Source organism: Homo sapiens, chromosome 13 (genome assembly GCF_000001405.40).
Source record: "Homo sapiens chromosome 13, GRCh38.p14 Primary Assembly".
Classification (NCBI taxonomy): domain Eukaryota; kingdom Metazoa; phylum Chordata; class Mammalia; order Primates; family Hominidae; genus Homo; species Homo sapiens.
In genome coordinates this window covers 99,339,736-99,359,522 of record NC_000013.11, presented here as the reverse complement: position 1 = coordinate 99,359,522, position 19,787 = coordinate 99,339,736, and the positions used below count along the sequence as shown (strand labels likewise).

The following is a 19,787-nucleotide window of genomic DNA, read 5'->3' as shown; positions in this document are numbered from 1 at the left end:
CACATTTAGGAAACAGGTTGATTTAACAGGAGTCTCTGACAAAGGGGATGACCTACCACGGAGATCAAGGGCAGAAAAAGACTAGATCGTTTTACTTGAATGAGTTAATGTAAAATCACAAAATTATCACATCTACTAATGTACCTGGTAATACTTTCAGCAACAAAAGTAGAAAGAGAATTAAGACAACCTCCCTGCCTTTTAGAAGCTCATAGTCTGGTATTTTAATAATGAAACACTTTTTCCTTTTTCTTCCAGGTTATCAAAGCACCCTTTGTTAGATCCAGTGGATCCTCCTGAGCGCTCTGTGACCTGCCTTCTGGCAGCACCAGGTCTTACTGACCACTCTTCCTCGACATTCTCTTCCCCAGGCTTTGTGGCATCCCGCTTTCTTTCTAGCCCTCTAGCTACGCCTTCTCAGTGTCCTCAGATTCTCCTCCTCCCACTCCTGTCCTTCAGACACGGGTGTTCTTGAAGGTTCCATGTGGGGAGTGTTTCTCTCCTTCTTCCGTGTTCTGGGTGCCCATCCATTCCTAGGGCTTCATGGGGTAGAGACTCCCAAACTCGAACCTCCAACCCAAACACTGTGTCTCAGAGCCATGTAACCCACTGTCTCCTGAACACACTTTCATCTAAATGTTAAGGAGACACCTAAGATAGAACACGTCCCAAACAAACTCATCTCCCACCCCATATCTCTTGCTGTGTCCCCTGTCTTGGGGTGTGACATCCACATCCATCCACTGCATAAACCAGATCTCTAGGCTCTGTCCACTGGAACTCCCCCGCCACTGTCTCCACCCTCACTCTCACTGCCCCGTGTGAGACCACAGTCCATGGCCGGGGTGGCTCCAGAGTTAGTTCCTAAGATACAAATCTCGTCAAGCCCCTCCTCTACTTAGAAACCCTTTGCTGGCTCCTCATTGCCCTTTTATTAATTTAAAAATATTTAATAACTCATTAACAATCACAAGCCTATTACTTGCTAACATAAATATAGATTTTTGAAATAAAAAATAACCATGTTTTCCCAAACAGAATTACTGAGAAGAGTGGCACTGTTTTCCATTTTTGCAAATCTCTTTAATGTCTGACTTACTAGAAGGTTGCTGGATTCTCCCATCTGCTTCTGCATTCGATTTTGTTCTGTTACTCTGGTTTTTGAAGTACATGAAGCAAATCCAGCCACATAGATACACAGTTAGAAAAGAAAGGGAGAGTACATTAAGGGCCTTTTCGGATGACTACAGACATCCTCCCCTTTGATGCTACTCAATGCATCCCTGTTGCTTTCAGAATCCGACAGAAATTTCTTACCTGGGCTTACCAGACTCCTGTCTGCCACTGGAGTCACTTTCTCACAACACCGCCCTCACATTCTCTACTCCTGCTGGGGAGCCTGCTCTCACCACCCTGTACTCCTCTGCGTGCTCTCACACCTCACCATCCCTTCCCCAGGACAGCTCTCAGCACATCCCATTTCACTTGCAGGCTAACCGGCCTGAATCTCACAACAGCCTATTAGCTCCACGGGGACTGTGATTCTCCATCTTGTCCTGTTTGTAGACCTGGCCTCCTGTACGACCTGGCATATGCAAGCACTCAAGAAACAGTTGCAAAATGGATAACTGAATGGACAAAGACATAGTGAGGCATATTGCTGAGTTAAGGCGTATGGGGTTTTCTTAGCCAAGACTGTAGTTAGTTGGGATATGAAGACCCAGGTGATGGGTTACTAATGAAGGCGGGGTGGAAGGGGTGAGAGGGGTTAAAGCAAGGAGGCTCCCAAAGGACATGCTTGATACCTACATTCTTCATGGACATAGCATCCTCTTCTAATACAAGAACCAGGAGTTACAAAGAAGCAATGCTGGGAAACTGGTGAAACCACAAATGGCAGCTCCTCATAGAAGACAGTTATTTGCAATTCCCTGTGCTCTGTGGAAGCTGCAGCTTTTGGTGTAAGTATGAATATGCTTACACTTAGTTTTACTCATTTGCCTTCTATGCGTAGTGCGCTGTCCTGGGGCCAGATAAGGAGGCTGTGACACAGAGAAATGACTAATTTCCTATGGCCCTGAAAAGAGTTTGGCTGAGATAACAAAACAAACGTACATTAAAAACTAAACAAGAAGCACTTCAGGACTGAACGAGAGGCATCTTGTTAGACTTAAAACTGTAGTCACGTGTCGCTTAACAACAGGGCTTCATTCTGAGAAATGTGCTGTTGGGTGACTTTGTTGCTGTGTACTTACAGAAACCTAGATGTGATCGCCTACTACACACCAAGGCTGCTTGGTGTAGCCTATGGCGACCAGGCTACAAACCTGTACAGCAAGTCACTGTGCTGAATACTGGAGGCAGCTGTAACACAATGGTAGTTGTGTATCTAAACATAGAAAAGACATAGCAAAAATATGGCATCATAATCTTATGAGACCACTGTCATACATGCAATCTGTCATTGACCAAAACATATTGTTATGTGGTGCATGACTACAAGAGTGAGCACAATACAGAGAGAAAAGACACCACAGAGGCTGCTGTCCTCAGCAAAAGCTTTGTGGCAAAACTGGGGAAAAACCAAACAAAGCCCAAAAAAAGAAAACCAAACAAAGCCCACCACCAGAACCACACACAAACTGGCAACACATTCACCACTTGGATAAGAGATGGGGCAACGCGAGGCCCAGAAGAAACCATGCTGCATATTTGAAAGCCTTGGTTCCTTGGTAAAGTCTTAAAAATAGGAACCTTAGAAAACTCAGAAGACTGAATCTAACCCTGTCATGTGAAGTGCCACCCATGATCTTTGTGTCGTGCTATAAAAACAGTGTATTGTATCTTTCTGTGCTGCTTAGCAGTAGTCTCAGTAGGTATTGGAAAAAATAATAAACTAGAGGGAAAGGAGATGATCGCTTGAACAAAGTCCCAGGCTAGTTTTGCAGCTCTCGGTTTCACTTTTCCTTTGTGGTTTCTCACAGTGACCAGTGTTGATGGATGAGATACTTCAAACAGTACTATTTCTTCTAGGCAGAACAGAAGGCAGTTTCCATGGCAATACGATCAGGAGACACAATACATCCTGTTGCTCAGTTTTGAGAACCTTTTGGCTTAGGGGACAGAAGTTTCCAACTATCGGCTGCCCTCTGCCCCGTCTCTTCTTCCTCTGTCTTGCTCTAGTCGGCTGGAGTCCCAAAGGCCACACGCCTTGCCTGTGCATTCCATGCAGGGGCTAAAAGGGTCAGGGCCACAGCTGGTGTTCCAGGGACTGATTGGGGATGGCAATGAGGACAGAAGGTGCAAAGACATCTACAGAGTACATCGGGAAGCTCCAGCACAGCTTAGGATGCAACCCAACAGCCCCTGCAAGGGATGCTTCTACTGTGTACAGTCTGACAGACATGTGTCCCAAGTCTTGTTTACTTTAATGACATTTCTTTTCAGAGGCCTGACATACCTAGCACAGCTGATCTTACTGTGACATAGGTACAATTTTACAAACAGGTTCAGTTGGTTTCAACAGCAGCTGCAAACCCAAGAGAGACAGGTTTTCCCTTTGTTTCAACAAAGCACGGCTCCCAGCCAGTTCCATCTGGGGAGGCCCTGGAGGTGCAGGGAAGGGACTCTGGAGAGAGCCATGGGATGCACATGGCTCAGCCATGCACCAGGGCGTCCAGTGGGTCTGTGCCGCCGCTGCCCTCCAGGCCCCCTGCACAGAGTGGGGTGAGACTCTGGGCAGCTGCGGGGGGGCTTGTGGCACCAAGCACGCTGCGGGCTGAGCCACAGGCCTGCGTCCTGGCTCTCGTTTGTTTTGAAAACGTGACTGACCCATCACTCCTCATGGGGAACTTTTCCTCCAGGGACCGTCAGGACCAGAGGTGTCCCAACCTTTTCCTGTGTTTTGGTTTGGTTTTGGTTTTGGTAGAGAATGAGAATGCTAAGGCTGCTCTGTGAGGAGGAGGTGGTGGTGAGAGGGTGGCGTGGGGGGACCACAGGGTTCCACAGCCCACAGCCCAGCTGCAGGTCAGGGACATCAGCGCAGGAAGAGCATGCCAAGGCCTTGTCTTGCAGCTTCCTCACTCCCTCGACTGAGTGACACACCTGTAAGCACTGAACGCTGGTGACGGTAAGGGCCACACAGCGAGGACTGAGACAGTGGCCTTGAAGACATAAGAATGGAAGTGCATCTCTCAGAGTGTGGATTATCCATTTCTGCATCGTATATTCTGTTTTCCCTTCCTTCATTCTTTTGTCTGCCAAATTTGGGGTCATTTTTTCCTTCCCAGCATTGGCTCTACACACAAATTATAAAGTAAAAGTCAAAATTAAAATTAGTTTTGGTACTTGTTACAGTAAATGTTTTGACAGAAACAGAGGTGAAACTCCTAATTAAAAATGAGACTGGGGATTACTCAAGGTTTCCCCTCTTCTTACATTTCCTCCGTGGAGAGTTCATCCATTTTCATGTCTTCAGTGACCACCTGAGTCTCATTCCCGCACTTGCCTATCTGCGTTCACCGTGGCAGGCGGATGTCCACTTCCCAGCTCATGTCTGGACTCAGCTCTCCTCTGTCCATCAAACCCAGCCAACGCTGAAGGACTACTGATTTTCCCCTGGGAGAGGATCTGCCCGTTTAGGTCCTTGCTGTTGCACTCCGAGATTATGCCAACAACTTCTTGGATGACATGACTGCCAGTAAGATTTCCCCAATCCAATCTGCATGCCACGGTCAGTGAGTGTGCACAAGAAGCCCTTTCACAATGACACTGCCTCAACCAAAAACCCTCGGGCATCCTGTCTGAGTCTGTCCTGTTTTGCAGGTCTGCCCAAACCAGCCCCATCGTAAATTACTTCTCTAAATTACATCCTAAATTACTATGTCGGCTCAAACTGTCCCTGCCACCTAAAGTGCCCTCCCTGGTCCCTTCCATTTGCATAGGGCCCAACTCCTGTTTCCCATCTGTAAGTGGCTTCTTTCTCTGCAACCCAAACCCTCCTGTTCCCCTGCTCTGCTGAACTTCCACAGAACTCAGCCAAGCCGCCAAGTGAACAGAGAATAAAACCCTGAGTCTGGGTTTCCCCAGCTGTAAAATGGAAAGCTGGACTAGATAGCCTTAAGCTAGTTATGAGCTGTCTCTTCCCAATCATTATATTAAAGAACATCTGGAAGGCCAAACAGTTCTCTCTCAAAAAGGAGCCTCAGGCCACCTGCCAGAGCCGCTGCAGGAGGAGCTCCTGGACAGATGCTGGGTTGACACCCCCATGTCACCCGGCTCACACTGCTCATGAATGTCACCTGTACAACCCCCTATCTCCAATAAGATATGAGCTCCTTGGGCAACTGTCCTGTGAGAGCCACAGTTGTGGACAGTGTCCACGTGAGGGAGCAGGTGCAGAGCAGTGAAGGGGGGTGCGGTGGCCTCCCCCATCCTAAACCCACGATCTGCCTGCATCCCCTGTGAACAGGCACTGCACGTGTGCACACACCTCCATTGCTTAGACAGAATGATTTTACCAAATCTCAGTATGGCTAATCTGTGCTCTAATCTTGGGTGGGAGATCGTGACTCACGACTCTGAAAATTCCTGGCCTCTGGCTGCTTTCTCCACAAAACCACGTCTGTCAACCACAGCACTGGGCTGCTGGCTCTGAAACCTTGGGGGTTGCACGAAATCAAGGCTTCTCGAGGGTCTCAGTTTTCCTGAGATGCTCATGGGTACTCCAGTGGTCTGTTCCTCATTAAGAGCTTTTTTCTGGTTTTGAAAACCCATCAGGATGGCTTTTTTTGGGGAGGAAAAACTTCCCAGAATGATTATGAGGATGATTTTTCTAATATACCCCTGGTTTAACATGATACTGCTCCAGAGTACATCTCTAAATTCATTCGTCCTTTCAAAAACTGATTAATAAGTGACAAAAGGAAAACCCAGGAAAAGAATTAGGATTACTGATAACTTTTACATCTTCAAAAAGCCAAGTACATCATCATCATTTGCTTGTTTTCTGAGGTATCATGAGACTGTACCTCGCTCTTTTTTCTCATGAAGACACCAAGGCAGGATGGAAAATAGAAATGATTTTCTCAAGGTCACTTAATGAGTCAGTCTTGGAAAAGGATCACACTTTAGATTGATCCTATCTTTCTGTTCTGAATTTTGTCAAAAAGATCAGTATGATCAACTACAAAAGCACTGGAAACACAGCAGTAGCTTCTGCAAGGAGGTACAGATTGAGATAAACAGCGTAGCTGTAACTTCACTGAAAATAGAGTTCTTGCAAGTAATTTTCATTTAATTTGCAGATTTTTATCAACTAAGCACTAGTAACTTATTCCACATCTGATGCTATATACTTATAAACTCTTGAAAGAAGAAAGTCATAAAAGAACTAGCTTTAACTGATTAGACTGCTTTGTTGACAAGGAAGCATAGCAACTTGAAAAGAATCGTTTTCAAATCAAATTGCACCAAAAAGTGAAAGAGCATAGCCAAAAAGGAAAAGTGCTGAGGAGGGTGCCACGTGCCAGCTTGCTGTCTCTGAGGATGCTCGGGACACATGAGAATTCGCTCCCTTTGGATTCCTGGTGGACTCCTTTGCAACACACGTGCACTGCCCCTACCCCGGACACAGGGGTGGAGACGGAGGTAGAGAGTTTCCGACGGTGCTGCCTCCAGACACAATTTCTTGACTCTTCCTGACTGCACTACACATTTCTCCCAGAAGAGTGACCATCACATTTCACTGTAACTGACGCTTTCTACTCTAAGCTCAGGGAGAGGAGGGATCGTGCTGCCTTGGTCACTGTGGGACTCACCAGAGCCTGGCACTGCGTGTATTCTGCGGAATAGACGGTAATGAAAATGGTAGCACTGGTGAGGCCAAGAGGCAACAGGAAGCTTCCTAAGGAAGCTGGCCTGATGAAGGGGCAGTGACAGAAACTGGTCTGGTGGAGTGGCACTTGCACACATAAAGCTCTACTAGGCAGATCTTGCTATCTAAACCACAGAGGGAAAATCAACCATGCTGCAACATGCGTCAACCTCAGAAACGTGAAGCTCAGCGAAAGAAGCCAGTCATAAAGATCAGCTACATATGCTTCCATTTCTATAAAATGTCCAGAATAAGCAAGTCTACAGAGACAGAAAGTAGATTAAGTGGCTGCCTAGGACAGGGCGGATGGGAATGACTGCTAATGGGGCGCAGTTTCTTTTGGGGTGATGAAAAATGTTCTCAAATTACGGTATTTGTGCAATTAAAAAATACTAAAAACCACCGAACTGTACACTTCGAGGGGGTGAGTTATATGGTATGTGAATTCCATCAGCTGCTAAAAAATACATCAAGGACCAGTAAATACTTTTAAAACACTAAAAAAAGTTATTGAATTCAAAATACTTGATTAATGATAGGAACTCTCATGATTGACAGGGCAGATCTGCCTCCTGGTGCACATCTCAGATGATACCAAATGGCTGTTGCTGGGGGAGGATAAAGAGAGAAACAATTTTCACAGCCACAGAATGTTACCAAGTGAGGATGTGCAGCTAAACTCACTTTAACCAAATGCTGCGAAAGTAACTGAAAGCACGTGTGAGTATCGCTGAGCCACTCTGGGTGTCAGTAGCTTCTTTCCTTGCAGGCAAAACACAGAGGTGATAATCAACCAGTTAACACCGGGCAGCCCAATGAGATGAGGAGGCAGTTAAAAGAAGAGCACCAAGGACTCCTGGGCTTTGCTGCCAAATGTCCCACTTGGCTTGTACCAACAAGCAGGATTCATTCACACTGGGCTTCACCTTAGTTCTGCTTCTAAAATAGATGGAAATTTTACAGAAATGCCTAATGGAAAGTTTTATCCCCAAGTTTGTGTTGTGGTATATAACAGAATTCTCATCATCAGCCAACAGAGAGAGGATTGGCTCCCACAAATAACAGATGACCAGAACTAAGAGAGAATTCACATTTCCAGGTAAAAGGTTACTTTGAAAGCTGCTGGCTATATAACCTTCTACAGCAGGGACTGGCAAATATTTTTCTGTAAAGGGCCAGGTGGTAAACATTTTAGGTTTGGAAGATAAAGAGGCAAGAGATCAAAGATACTATGTAGTTACCTATATAACCATTTAAAATGTAAAACCTGTTCCTAGCTTCAGATTGTACAAAAACAGGTAGTTTGGCCCACAGGCCATCACCTGCTGACTGTTGCTCTAGAGGTTACAAGCTTTTACGAGTAATAACTATCAAGGTTGGCTCCTAAATTAGGACTCTCTCAAACTTCCTGAGAGCCACAAAAACAGATGCCCAATACTATGATAATAACTAATATCTGATAGAGCCTCTGGTACCTAAGGTAATTTTGTATAATTTTTTTTATCCCCAATGACAACAGTATTCTACAGATTGTGTATAGATGTCCCTGTCAACCCAGGATTGAGTCCCTAACTGCCCATTCTTGTTCTTTTCATTATATTACGCTGCTTTCTATTGTGAGCATGGCTCTGAAGAAAAACAACACTGTTTTCTTCCTTTCTACACTCACACACGACTCAACACAATATTCTGACACCAGATGTGCTGGGGGGCTTCATACCCCAAGCAGTGCTCCAGTGGACACCAGCAGGGTGTCCTATAATTTAACTCAATCCCCACACTGTCTCCCAGGAGATAACATCAGAGCCCACAGGTTAAGGGCCCACTCCCACAAGACTGCTCCCCTACTTCAGATGGCAATCGCCAGACCTAACCTGCGGTTCTAACCAACGTGCTATAAATGAGGGTTCCCGTGGTCCACTCCTTGGGTTCAGTTAATTTGCTAGGATGGCTCACAGAACTCAGGGAAACACTGACATCTACCCATTTATTAGAAAGGATATTGCAAGGGATACAGATGAACAGTCAGATGGAAGAGATGCACAGGGCAAGGCATGGGGCATGGCCCCTGCCCCTCTCTGGCACCCCCTGCACCCTGCTCCAGCACACATTCAGCAATCTGGAAGTTCTCTAAACCCTGTCCTTTGGGGGTTTTATGGAAGCTTCATTATGTAGATATAATTGATTATATCACTGGCCATTGGTGATCAACTCAACCCCTCTCCCTAATCACAGAGGTTGGGGGTGGGGCTGAAAGTCTCAACCCTCTAATCACTTATTAGTTCCCCTGGTAACCAGCCCCCATCTGAGGCTATCCAGGAGAGCCTGGACATCAGTCATCCATGTGAAAAGACACTTCTCACTGTGGGCGAAGGATTACCTAGGTGCCGAGGTAAGAAACTGAAGGCACAACTGTTTCAGTATAAAAAAGAAAATAGAGTAAGAGTAGTCATAATACAAATTAGATATAGAGATGATCATGGACATTATCAATCATTATAAACATCATGAATCATTAGCTTTTAATATTACTCTTTGTTGCATTACTAATATAACCTAGGAATAACCGGCGGGCATAGGGTCAGGTGCTGAAGGGACATTGTGAGAAGTGACCTAGAAGGCAAGAGGTGAGCCCTCTGTCACGCCGGCATGAGGGCTCCTTGGTCAAGCGGTAATGCCAGTGTCTGCGAAGACACCCATTACTTAGCAGACCGCGAAAGGGAGTCTCCTTTCATTGGAGGAGTCAGGGAACACTCTGCTCCACCACCTTCTTGTGGGAGGCTGGATATTATCCCAGTCTGCCCGCAGTCATCCGAAGTCCTAAACCCCTCCCTGTGATGCTGTGCTTCAACGGTCACGCTCCTTGTCCACTTTCATGTTCCTCCCGTACTCCTGGTTCCTCTTTGAAGTTCGTAGTAGATAGCAGTAGAAGAAATAGTAAAAGTCTTAAAGTCTTTGATCTTTCTTATAAGTGCATAGAAGAAAACGCTGACGTATGGTGCCTTCTCTCTCTCAGCTTCGGCTACCTAAGAGGGAAGGGCCCCCCTGTCCTGTGATTACGTGACTTGCTTCACCTTGTCAATCACTTAGAAGATTCACCCTCCTTACCCTGACCCCCGGTCTTGTATGCAATAAATATCAGCGCACCCAGCCGTTCAGGGCCACTACTGGTCTCCGCATCTTGATGGCAGTGGTCCCTCGGGCCCAGCTGTTTTCTCTTTATCTCTTTGTCTTGTGTCTTTATTTATTACAATCTCATCTCCGCACATGGGGAGAACACCTGCTAAGCCCTGTAGGGCTGGACCCTATGCTCACTGTGGAGATTCCAAGGGCTTTAGGTGCTGTGTGTCAGGGGCCAGTGGTAGAGAACAGATACATCTTTCTCATCACAGCACACAGAGCTTCTTTGCTACAGCGAGCAAAGGGAGGGAGACATGCACCGTGAAGCTGTGGAGACTCAGGTTGCACAGGCACCATTCGGATGATCATTACTACAGGAGACTCCAGTAATTGATCTGGAGGTCTGAAGACAAGGAGGCTCTGCAAAGCCTGCCCTCGTCCTTCACTGTGATGAGCTAAGCATGCTCTAGCTCATCACCAACAATATCCTGAGCACACAGAATTTTCACTGTCTCCCACCTGGTCTTCTTCCTCTAGTGTCACCTTTTCTTTTCTTTTTCTTTTTGAGCCGTGATTGCACCTTGACCTCCAGGGATCAAGTGATCGTTCCATCTCAGCCTCCTGAGTAGCTGGGACTACAGGCACAGGCCACCACGCCCAGCTGATTTAAAAAATTTTTTTGTAGAGAAGAGGTCTCACTATGTTGCCCAGGCTGGTCTCAAACTCCTAGGCTCATGCTATCCTCCTGCCTTGGCCTCCCAAAGCGCTGGGATTACAGGCATGAGCCACTGTGGCCAGCCTACCGTCATCCCTTCAGACAACGTTCATATTATGACTAAAGTGAGCTTTCTTAAAAATAAATCTAACTTACTCTCCTGTTTAAAAGGCCTCACTGATCCACCACTTCTGGCAGGATGAACACAACAGCAATTCTTAGTTTGGTAGAAGACCCGTCCTGGCCTCTGCTCTCTTCCCAACCATGTCTTTCATTGCCTCTTTCTTATAGGAACCTCAATCTCAGGCGAATGCAATTCCTTGCTGTCCCCACAGCTGTTTTGAGCCCCTGTGCGTTTTTTCATAAGGCCCCCCGTGACTGAAACACCTGCCCCAATGCTGGCCTCAAGATTACCCTCGCTGTATCCCTTAGGGAGAACTGGCCACACCCACTGTTTAGGCTCAGGGTTCTTTTTTCTTCTCTTTGCACAGACTCCTGTAGAAACCTAGTGCCTAGTACAGCCTCATGTCTTCCCCTCGCTGGCTGCAAACTTCTTGAAGGCGCAGGCGGCGTCTTATTTAATCCCTCAGGGCAGTACACTGCATTAGAGCCAAAAGACAAAGAAGTACAACAGCTCCTGTCCTCCAAGAGCTCATATTCTACTGGGGATGAACAAAACACAAACCCATGAAAAGTTATGTAATGGCCCTGGCAGTGTAAAGATGATCACAGCTGCAAGTAGCAAAATGACTCTGAGATGCCACCTGCTTTGGAGAAGGCAGCTCTGCTGGGAGACAAGAGTGAGTCAGCGGGCAAGGAACTACTGAGAGCAGCTTATGTGTGTCCAGCATAGTGTCCCGAGTTTACAAAAGAATGGGACAGCTGTGGATGTGGAGGGAGATAAGAAGTGGGCACCACAGGCTGCAGCTAATACTCTGCAGCCCACTCCATCTTCACTGCCACAGGCCCATGAGACAAGCCTCCAAAGGCCTCTGGATAGTCAGTGCTGGCGGGAAATGTCCAGAAAGATCTGTAGGAGGTCAAAGCACACTAGATGACGTTATCACATGCCTGTGCTTAATGATGAGCATGGGACCACTGTACCCTGCCCCTGTCAGCACCTAGGTCTCATGTCTCAGTTGAAGTGAGATCTATAGAGCCATCACCCTGGTCACTGTTCATCAGAGCTGTGGAATGGGAATATGCCACACAGTGGACTAAAAATGCTTCAGGAGCATAAGATCATATTGACTTTCTCACAGAGTGAAAGTAACTTGAACGGGGACCAGCGTGACCACAGTGATGTCCCAGAATGAGGGCAGCCAGTCAGAACAGAGTGATATTGACCTTCCCCCACTTCCAGCTCATGCAGCGCTTCTCATCCCCATCTCTCCACCGAAGCCCCTTTCAAAAGTGAACTCATTCTGCTGAATCCAGTGGTGGTCTTCCAGTATCATCTTCACTTGCCTTTTTTTTCCTGGGGGGGGGGGGGGGCGCCCGGGGATAGTAACGTCTGAATCTGTTCCTGAAACACCTACTCTTCCTGAAACATTCTACTCCGCAGGCTCCCTGGCCACTGAACTGGTTTTCTCCTTGGTCCCTGGGGGTTCTTTTTTTTCCCTCTTTGCACTCTCTAGACATGGGTCTTGCTTTCTACTGTTCTCTCAAGAGTATCCGTAGATCTTTTTTTTTCTTTAAATAGAGATGGGGGTCTCACCATGTGGCCCAAGCTGGTCTCAAACTCCTGGGCTCAAGCAATCTGCCCGCCTGGGCTTCCCAAAGTGCTGGGATTACAGGCGTGAACCACTGCACTCAACCTCTGTAGATGTTTCCAGCCCTGATTATTCATCTGTGTTCAGCTTGCTTAAAGTCTTTCTGTATCTATTTATTATGCTCATATTTGCTCATTAATTCCCACAGTTCCTAACATCTGCCAGGCATTATTCACACACTGGAGATATACAGAAAACAAGTCTGCTCCATCCGGAGACACACTGGTGGAGAAAGGGCAGTAAATCACCAGTGAACATCGGGTTTGCGGTGCCACGAGAGACAGGCAGTGTCTACAGGGGCAGAGAGAGCCCTGGGAGCCCCCCAGGAAGCTGGGGAAGGCCTCCCTGAGGAGGCGATATTTGTCAGGAATGCCGAGTAAATAGCAGCTAGACAAGTGAAAATGATGTGTATGTGGGAGGGGTGGGGTGAAGGGGTTGGTACAGGGAAGTTCATTCTGGGCAGAGAGGAAAGGGAAGATGTAAAGGTGAGACTGCGTGAAACAATATGAGCAGCAGTTAACTGTGAGTAACCCGGTGAGGCATGGCTGGCCTAAGGGCTTGCACACGGCAGCAGAAAGGAGATGCGGCCACATAGCAGGCAGGAGCCTTGTGTTGGAACCACCCTGAAAGCTATGGAGAGGCCCTGAAGGATGATAGCTGGAGTGAAACAAGCAGATTTCTGTTTTCACAGAGATCACTGGTGGAGGCTGTGGGGCAGGCTCAGGAGGGAGGCAGTCGGTGATGGAGATGGGAGGGAAGAAATCCAGGCAAATGGCGCCGGTGGCCTGAACTACAGCACTGGAGATGAATGACGGACTTACATCAAGGAGGGAGACTCTTTGGGGCTGAACTGGTGGGGAAGGCAGGAAGGACATGGATGTATAAGTGGGAAATGTCTGGGGTGAAACCCTAGGTTTGGACTTTCGGGTAAACAATGGGTGCTTTTCATCAGGTAGGGAGTGAGAAAGGGAAACAAATTTAGCAAAGAAACAGTACATGTCGGCTGTGTGCGGTGGCTCACGCCTGTAATCCCAGCACTTTGGGAGGCCAAGGCAAGTGGATCATGAGGTCAGGGGTTCAAGACCAGCCTGGCCAACATGGTGAAACCCCGTCTTTACTAAAAATACAAAAATTAGCCGGATGTGGTGGTGAGCGCCTGTAATCCCAGCTACTCGGGAGGCTGAGGCAGGAGAATTGCTTGAAGCCAGGAGACAGAGGTTGCAGTGAGCCAAGATCACGCCACTGCACTCCAGCCTGGGCAACAGAGCAAGACTCTGTCTCAAAAAAAAAAAAAAAAAAAGAAAGAAAAAAAGAAACAGTACCTGTCAAGAGCTGATGGGACAGTGAAGTGGAGATGTACTATAGGCAGTAGGATATTTCGGTCTGGAGCCCCAGGAGAGAGGGAGGTCCAGTCTCTAGATCTTGAGGGACTCATGGGAGCCATGAGCTCAATAAAGTGGTGAGGACAGGGGCTGGGTGGGTCCCCTTGGGTGTCTAACGTGAAAAGCTCAGTAGGCAGAGAACTGAGTCTTGGGAAACAACCTATTTAGGGAGTGAACAGAGGAAGGAGAGCTCGATCCAGAGTACAGCATCAGCCCAGCCAAGGCACTCCTCTGAGAGCCGGGCTTTAGAAACCTCCTTCTATTTGTCTCCTCCTCTGTGGTTTCTCCTTTCCCCCGTCCATCTTACACTGTGCAATAAAATGACATTTTTCTGAGATAACTGTCCTATCTTTGTTACTGAATAAACAATTTTTCACAGCCAATGTCCAAGCCGAAATCTATTGTCAGGCTTAAACTACCTCCCTCCATTATCAGTTACTATATCATTTCCCATTTCTCACTACATATCTGCCCACATGTCAATCACAGGGCTCCTGGAGGTCTCTCCTTTTTAAGGTCTCATTAGCACCTCCATGCCTCACTCTTGCTGGTCCTCTCCTCTGGAATGATGTGCCTTACCCTCTCCACCCATCCAAATTCCACCCGTCCTTCTACTTCCTGAAATCTTTTTTGGCAGCATCAGTCCACACCAGTGGCTCTCTCCTCAGATTTTCACTGCATGGGTGCTTCAGTAAATATTTCCTTGTTTCTTGGATGCTCATCTATTTCAACTACAACTGCCTGAGCTCCCTGAAGTTGGCCACAAACTCACGGAGGGAAAGGACATGTTCTTCATTTATTTTGTGCCCACAGCGAAGCCACCAGTATTGGTCAGAGAGCTTCCCAAGCAGTCTAACTGTCTAACTGTGCCCCCAGAGCCACACGAGGAGCACGTGGCAGGGGGTGGCAGCGAGCACCTGCCAGATGGCAGGATGAACTCTGGCATAAGCAGGCAAGAGAAATCTAAAGAAATACAACACTGAATCAAGACTTGAGTGTTATTTTGGAATACCTGAAATGAAAAACTGCAGACAGATCATGTGTAACATACAGCAGTTAGTAACTGAAAAAAAATGACTTTCTGACTAAATAAACTCAGATTCTATGAAAAGCATCTAAAAATCAAGTTTTTAAATAAATAACAGTTGTATTTTAAATGAAATACACAGCATGAGATTGCCTACAATAAAAGATACAGGAGCAAACAACAAAAACATGTATTTGAAACATAAAGAAGAAGATGGAAGCAAAAGTTCTAACTTAACCCTAATTAAACCTGAAGCCTGGCACTGAGTTTCCTGCCAGCCAAAGTGAAAAGGGGGAAAACAAATCACCAAGGAGCTCTCATATTGGGAGGTATATGAGTTAGGGATCAGAAACAGAGACCTCAGAGTCAGACACAGCTGGGTCTCACTCCCAGATCCCCATCAACAGCTGCATGCCCCTGGACAAGCAAGCACTCCCCTGAGCCTCCGGGGTCATGAGGGAATACCTGCATCTCTCTAGGCGTACACCGGGCATAAATGAGATAACATATACTGAGTACTTACTATAGGACTGGCAAAATAAATGGTGGTGGTCTTCTTACTGATAAAGAGTGAAACATGCTAATTCTGCAAGAGAGACAGGACCTAAGCTCCATAAGAAAAAGGACTGGGGGCTATCTTTTTTACACCTGTGTCCTCAATGTCCAGCTCTAGGCCTACCATATAATAAGCACTAAGTACTTATTTGTTGAAAAGTAAATGAAAATAAACTTTTCTCCTGGTATTACATTCCAATACAACTGCACCCTGTACGGTACTCGTGCATGCACACAAATACGGCAGATAATTTCCAGTGGTGGTTTAACAAAAGAGTTCTCTACGTGGTGATTTATCATACTTATGTGAAGAAAACTGAGACACAGCTGAGTGAAGAAGTTCAGCAGGAGGCTAAGTGCTCAGGTTTGGGTGTACCCATGTGCGGACCCTAGAAGAGAACTTAGGAAGCTTAGGAAAAAATCAAGAGTCTGGTCTGTGCTGCCCAGCAGACCACTCAACGTAAAAGCCCAGCAAGAGCCCAGGGGCTGGTGTCCTGCTCTGGACTTCAGATCTGTTAGTGAGACCATCCTATGAAAGTGGAGGAGTCTGACAGCAGTGTAGACAGCCATAAAGGCCTGTGCCACTTCACAGGCGCCTGGTGGGAATGCACGCTCCAGCAGGGCAGGGGTTTGGGTCTGTCTCATTCCCTGAGGCCTGGGTACAACCTGGCAGATCCCGTGATGTTCCAAGTATCTGGGGGGAAAGACACCGTGCGGAGTTTACAGCAAGGCAGGAAAGGAGAACCACAATGGGGGTCCGTAGAATCCTGGAGCGAGGGCGTGCGCAAACAGCCAAGAATCCCACTTGCATAAACTGCTGCTGCACCATGAAGTGCCTGTCTGTAGGCCACAAAGTGAGCATGTGGTCAGCAGTGGAGACCCACCAAGTTACCAAGCCAGGTGGGCCGACAGAAACCCATCATCAGATGGACACGGGCATCTGGGCTCAGCATAGGTGGGGCTGCAGGGCATGGGTGAGCTGCAGAAGCAGGCATGCCAGACCACCCTGGCAGCCACCTCTGCTGCACCACAGCCTCTTCCCAGCTAACACCGACTACCACAGCTGGTGGGCCCCTCATGACCAAGTGACAGAGGGGAAAACAGCCAAATGGACAGGCTGGCTCAGGACATGAGTGGCAGCTGAAAGAAACGGCTGCATGATGGCTCAATCTTGAAAGACAGCGATCAGGGGAACCCCCTATGGGCAGAGCCTGGGCAGCACATTTGGTCATCAACTCTGTGTGAAGAGAAGTGGCCTGAGGCAATTACACGTGTGGATCTGCTGGGCATGGCAGATCACCTGGTTGGTCGGTCAGGGGACTGGAAGGGAGGGAACAAGGAGGATCCAGCTAAAGGAACAGCATCAAGTGTCTTGCAGGTCGTGCCCACCACGGGCATCCACCACAGAAAAGGCACCAAATGGAAGGTGGACAGAATGACTGTGGCTCCATCACCAGATAACCCAGCGCTGGCACACGAATGGATGGCCATGGTGGTAGCACAGAGGAATGTGTGGGTCCCCCTCACCTAGGCCGACCTATCTCCTGCCACTATGGAGCATCCAACCTGGCATCCACAGAGACTGTGTGTGCCTGATAACTACCGTCTGCAAGCAGAACAGTCACTCAGCGCCGAGACTATGCTGGGCCCTTTCCACTCTGCAGTGTTATGGAACACACTGTCTCCCACCCCTTGCCCCTGCCCCAAATTCACACGCTGAAGCCCTAACCCTACGATGTGACTGTATTTAAAGGTAGGAACTTTAAGGAGGTAATTAAGGTTCAAAGAGGTCGTACGCATGGGACTTACCCAACAGGACTGGTCCCCATTTTGGGACAACTCAGAAGGGCTCTCCCAGCTTCACTGTGCTCCATAAGACCAGCGAGGCTTTTGCTGGAACTGCAGCTGCTCCCTCTGTCCCATCTTGCTGCCTTCGCCAGCCCGCCCCCATAGATACTGATGCTGACGGTGTTCTCTCATAAACTCTTTGTATAAAAATCTTCCTGGGGAGGCCAATCTGAGAAATGCAACTTCTCTGGTTTGCTTATGAGGACAAATTCAAAGCTCTCCAATGGAGAATCTCCTCCCAGGATTCCAAAGGTATCTCAGACAACATATTTCCCCCAAATCTGCTCTTTTGATATTGGTGAAATGGAACTATCAGTCATCTATCTAAGATTATCTAGGCCAGAAACATCAGAACCATCCCCTACTTCTTTCTCTCCCTCATAAGCTCTGTGCCTCTACCTTTATACTCAATCACTACTCAGTTTTTCTGACCTTGATCATTCTGATTTCTCATACCTTTCGCTCTTCTCTCAGTTTCCTTGAAGGATTTACCTCCTGCTAAATACGAGGCTTCATCTGTAGCCTGTGTTCATCTTGGATGTAGCTCTTCTCTTACAGAACTTACTACTTCTTTGCTTTCGGCTCTCAGCTCTCATCCCTACAGAGGTGACTCCATCACCTATATATATATGTAGCTTCCACATTTCCAAGACAGAGATGTCCATCCTCCAGCTTTAAATACACCATGGGCATCTTTATGGCATGTTCCAGAGTCACTCAAATTCAAGCACATCTTTAAGAAACAACTTTTGCTTCTCTATTTCTCTTGTAGACTCTGCCCCTAATAAGCTGCCCCCTTCCTCCCCCCCCCTGATATAAACTCTGGGACCTGCATCTCCAATGGGACTCTAAGGACCTCAAACCTGATTTCACTTCTCCAAACCATCGTGAGATCTGCAGACCTACTTCTTGCATCCAATGCTAGTGGAAGACAGAGAGATGGCAGAGGTAACTGTACGGTTTACAACTACCCCAGGGGTAAAGAAGGTGGAGGCGAAAAATGGGGAGCCCTGTGGGCTGGCTCACAGAAGTGTCCAAGAAAGATCAGGCCTGAGGTTTTAGCCTGATGTGCACTAACCCTCCTTCTCTCACTGCCCATGGAAGACAAATGTAGTATCAGATTGTTTGGATGCAGAATTTGTAGACAAATGTGCAATAATTTCTGATTATTGATAGCAAGGTTGAGAAAACACAGCATTTTTTTTTATCTACTCCTTGGTTGTTCCACTGAAAATCTTCTTGCCTTCATATTCTCTTCATTTCAACCAAGGAAAATCAAGAAATTTTACATTTGTTCTTCACTCCATAGCATATGATTAGCATTTTAACAGGAAGACACTGTGGCTTTTACAAGATTATAAAAACAGATAAATAGCACATCTTGTTAACTAGGTTGGTGTTTCTCTAAGAAGTCATGCTTATCTAATATAGGTGGAACAAGAATGTCCAGTTTGACCAATCTTTCAGCTGCAATTTATTTTTTACCTTTTTAAAAAACTAAGAATGGCCACTAACAGAGACCTACAATCTCTTTGGAAATGTCAAAATCCACTTGCAAGGCACTGGAATAAAATGTAGTCTCTATCTCACATGCAATCACAGAGGAAAGATTTGCTTGGGCCACTGAGAATTTCTAAATTTTTAGTGATTATTATCACTTTTACCTGCTGCTGTCTCTGTCGCCTCCCTTGTGCAAACTGAGAGAACATCAGCTGCCGGTCCAGCAGCTCCATTCTCTGCTGTCTCTGGATGTCCAGCGTGGCTCCCATCCCAATTCTGGCTTCGCTGGTGGGTTCTGAAGAAGAGAAGATGGGTTCAAGTGTCCAAGAAAAGAATTTTGCCATCCAGCTGGGGATGCAGAGCACCTGATGCACCTGGAACATTTTGCTGTCGTAGCACAGACCGGACATCTAGAAGAAAAACGTCCAATGTGATTGTTTAAATGTAGTATTATTTTAAAAAATGTACACGACTCAAAAATCAGCAGCCTCCAGACACTGCACACGGTATTTTTCTTAGTCATAGCAGTGTTAGGCAATAAGCAAAATCCTCTACCACACTGCAGAACACTAAGCAGTGCAAATCAACACAAAATTGAACTTAGTAAAACAAAATTGTTTTTTATTGAATTAGAAGAGCTAGCAAAATTCTAATCATTTAGTATTCAAAGTTCTGGTAAAAGATTGTCAAGACACTGTCTTCATTTTTTAAAAAGCCGTAAAAGATCTGATTATTGAAACACTTTCACACTGTACTGACTCTGCGGTTACCTTTGTTGGCAGATGGCCATCACAGAGACACCAGCAGAAAACAACTGCCATGTCTCAGCTGACCCAGTCACACGATCAATTTATCAGAGAATAAACACAATCTAAAATCTTGGTTTTTATTTACATAGTGTTTTAATCAGTTTTTCAACTACTGATTTTTCTAGACATTTAAAATCCTCACCAATATTAGTTCCATTTATAAACCAACCTTGTCTTCATCTTGA

At 46.7% G+C, this 19,787-nt stretch overlaps 1 protein-coding gene, 1 long non-coding RNA gene and 1 other non-coding gene across 9 annotated transcripts in view, besides 4 other annotated features; all 3 read right to left on the bottom strand.

Annotated features, from left to right (window-relative positions):
• UBAC2 (UBA domain containing 2) overlaps nt 1-19,787 on the bottom strand; it is a 185,651-nt gene that overhangs the window by 26,982 nt on the left and 138,882 nt on the right. For all 7 annotated transcript variants that reach the window (NR_026644.2, NM_177967.4, XM_011521083.3 and 4 more), the window contains one exon: nt 18,958-19,203. Coding sequence is in view for 6 of the 7 variants with exons in the window: in NM_177967.4 (NP_808882.1) it covers nt 18,958-19,203 (246 nt within the window). In the remaining variant the exon portion in view is untranslated. The remainder of the gene's footprint in view (nt 1-18,957; nt 19,204-19,787) is intronic.
• Nucleotides 3,126-3,365: an enhancer, noted in NCBI's record as "active region_7934". NCBI's record gives its function as "activates an Ori minimal core promoter by ATAC-STARR-seq in GM12878 lymphoblastoid cells {active_cell/tissue: GM12878}" and the evidence as "EXISTENCE:reporter gene assay evidence [ECO:0000049][PMID:35858748]".
• Nucleotides 3,295-3,392, bottom strand: MIR623 (microRNA 623). Its single transcript, NR_030353.1, has one exon. It is a non-coding gene; the product is annotated as a microRNA 623 (primary transcript).
• On the bottom strand, nt 7,496-8,103 carry FKSG29. Its single transcript, NR_024013.1, has one exon. It is a non-coding gene; the product is annotated as an FKSG29 (long non-coding RNA).
• Nucleotides 7,639-7,728: an enhancer, noted in NCBI's record as "active region_7933". NCBI's record gives its function as "activates an Ori minimal core promoter by ATAC-STARR-seq in GM12878 lymphoblastoid cells {active_cell/tissue: GM12878}" and the evidence as "EXISTENCE:reporter gene assay evidence [ECO:0000049][PMID:35858748]".
• Nucleotides 15,948-16,448: an enhancer, noted in NCBI's record as "H3K4me1 hESC enhancer chr13:99995329-99995829 (GRCh37/hg19 assembly coordinates)". NCBI's record gives its function as "activates a minimal SCP1, AML or CMV promoter by ChIP-STARR-seq in primed H9 embryonic stem cells {active_cell/tissue: H9 hESC(primed)}" and the evidence as "EXISTENCE:reporter gene assay evidence [ECO:0000049][PMID:30033119]".
• Nucleotides 16,449-16,949: an enhancer, noted in NCBI's record as "H3K4me1 hESC enhancer chr13:99994828-99995328 (GRCh37/hg19 assembly coordinates)". NCBI's record gives its function as "activates a minimal SCP1, AML or CMV promoter by ChIP-STARR-seq in primed H9 embryonic stem cells {active_cell/tissue: H9 hESC(primed)}" and the evidence as "EXISTENCE:reporter gene assay evidence [ECO:0000049][PMID:30033119]".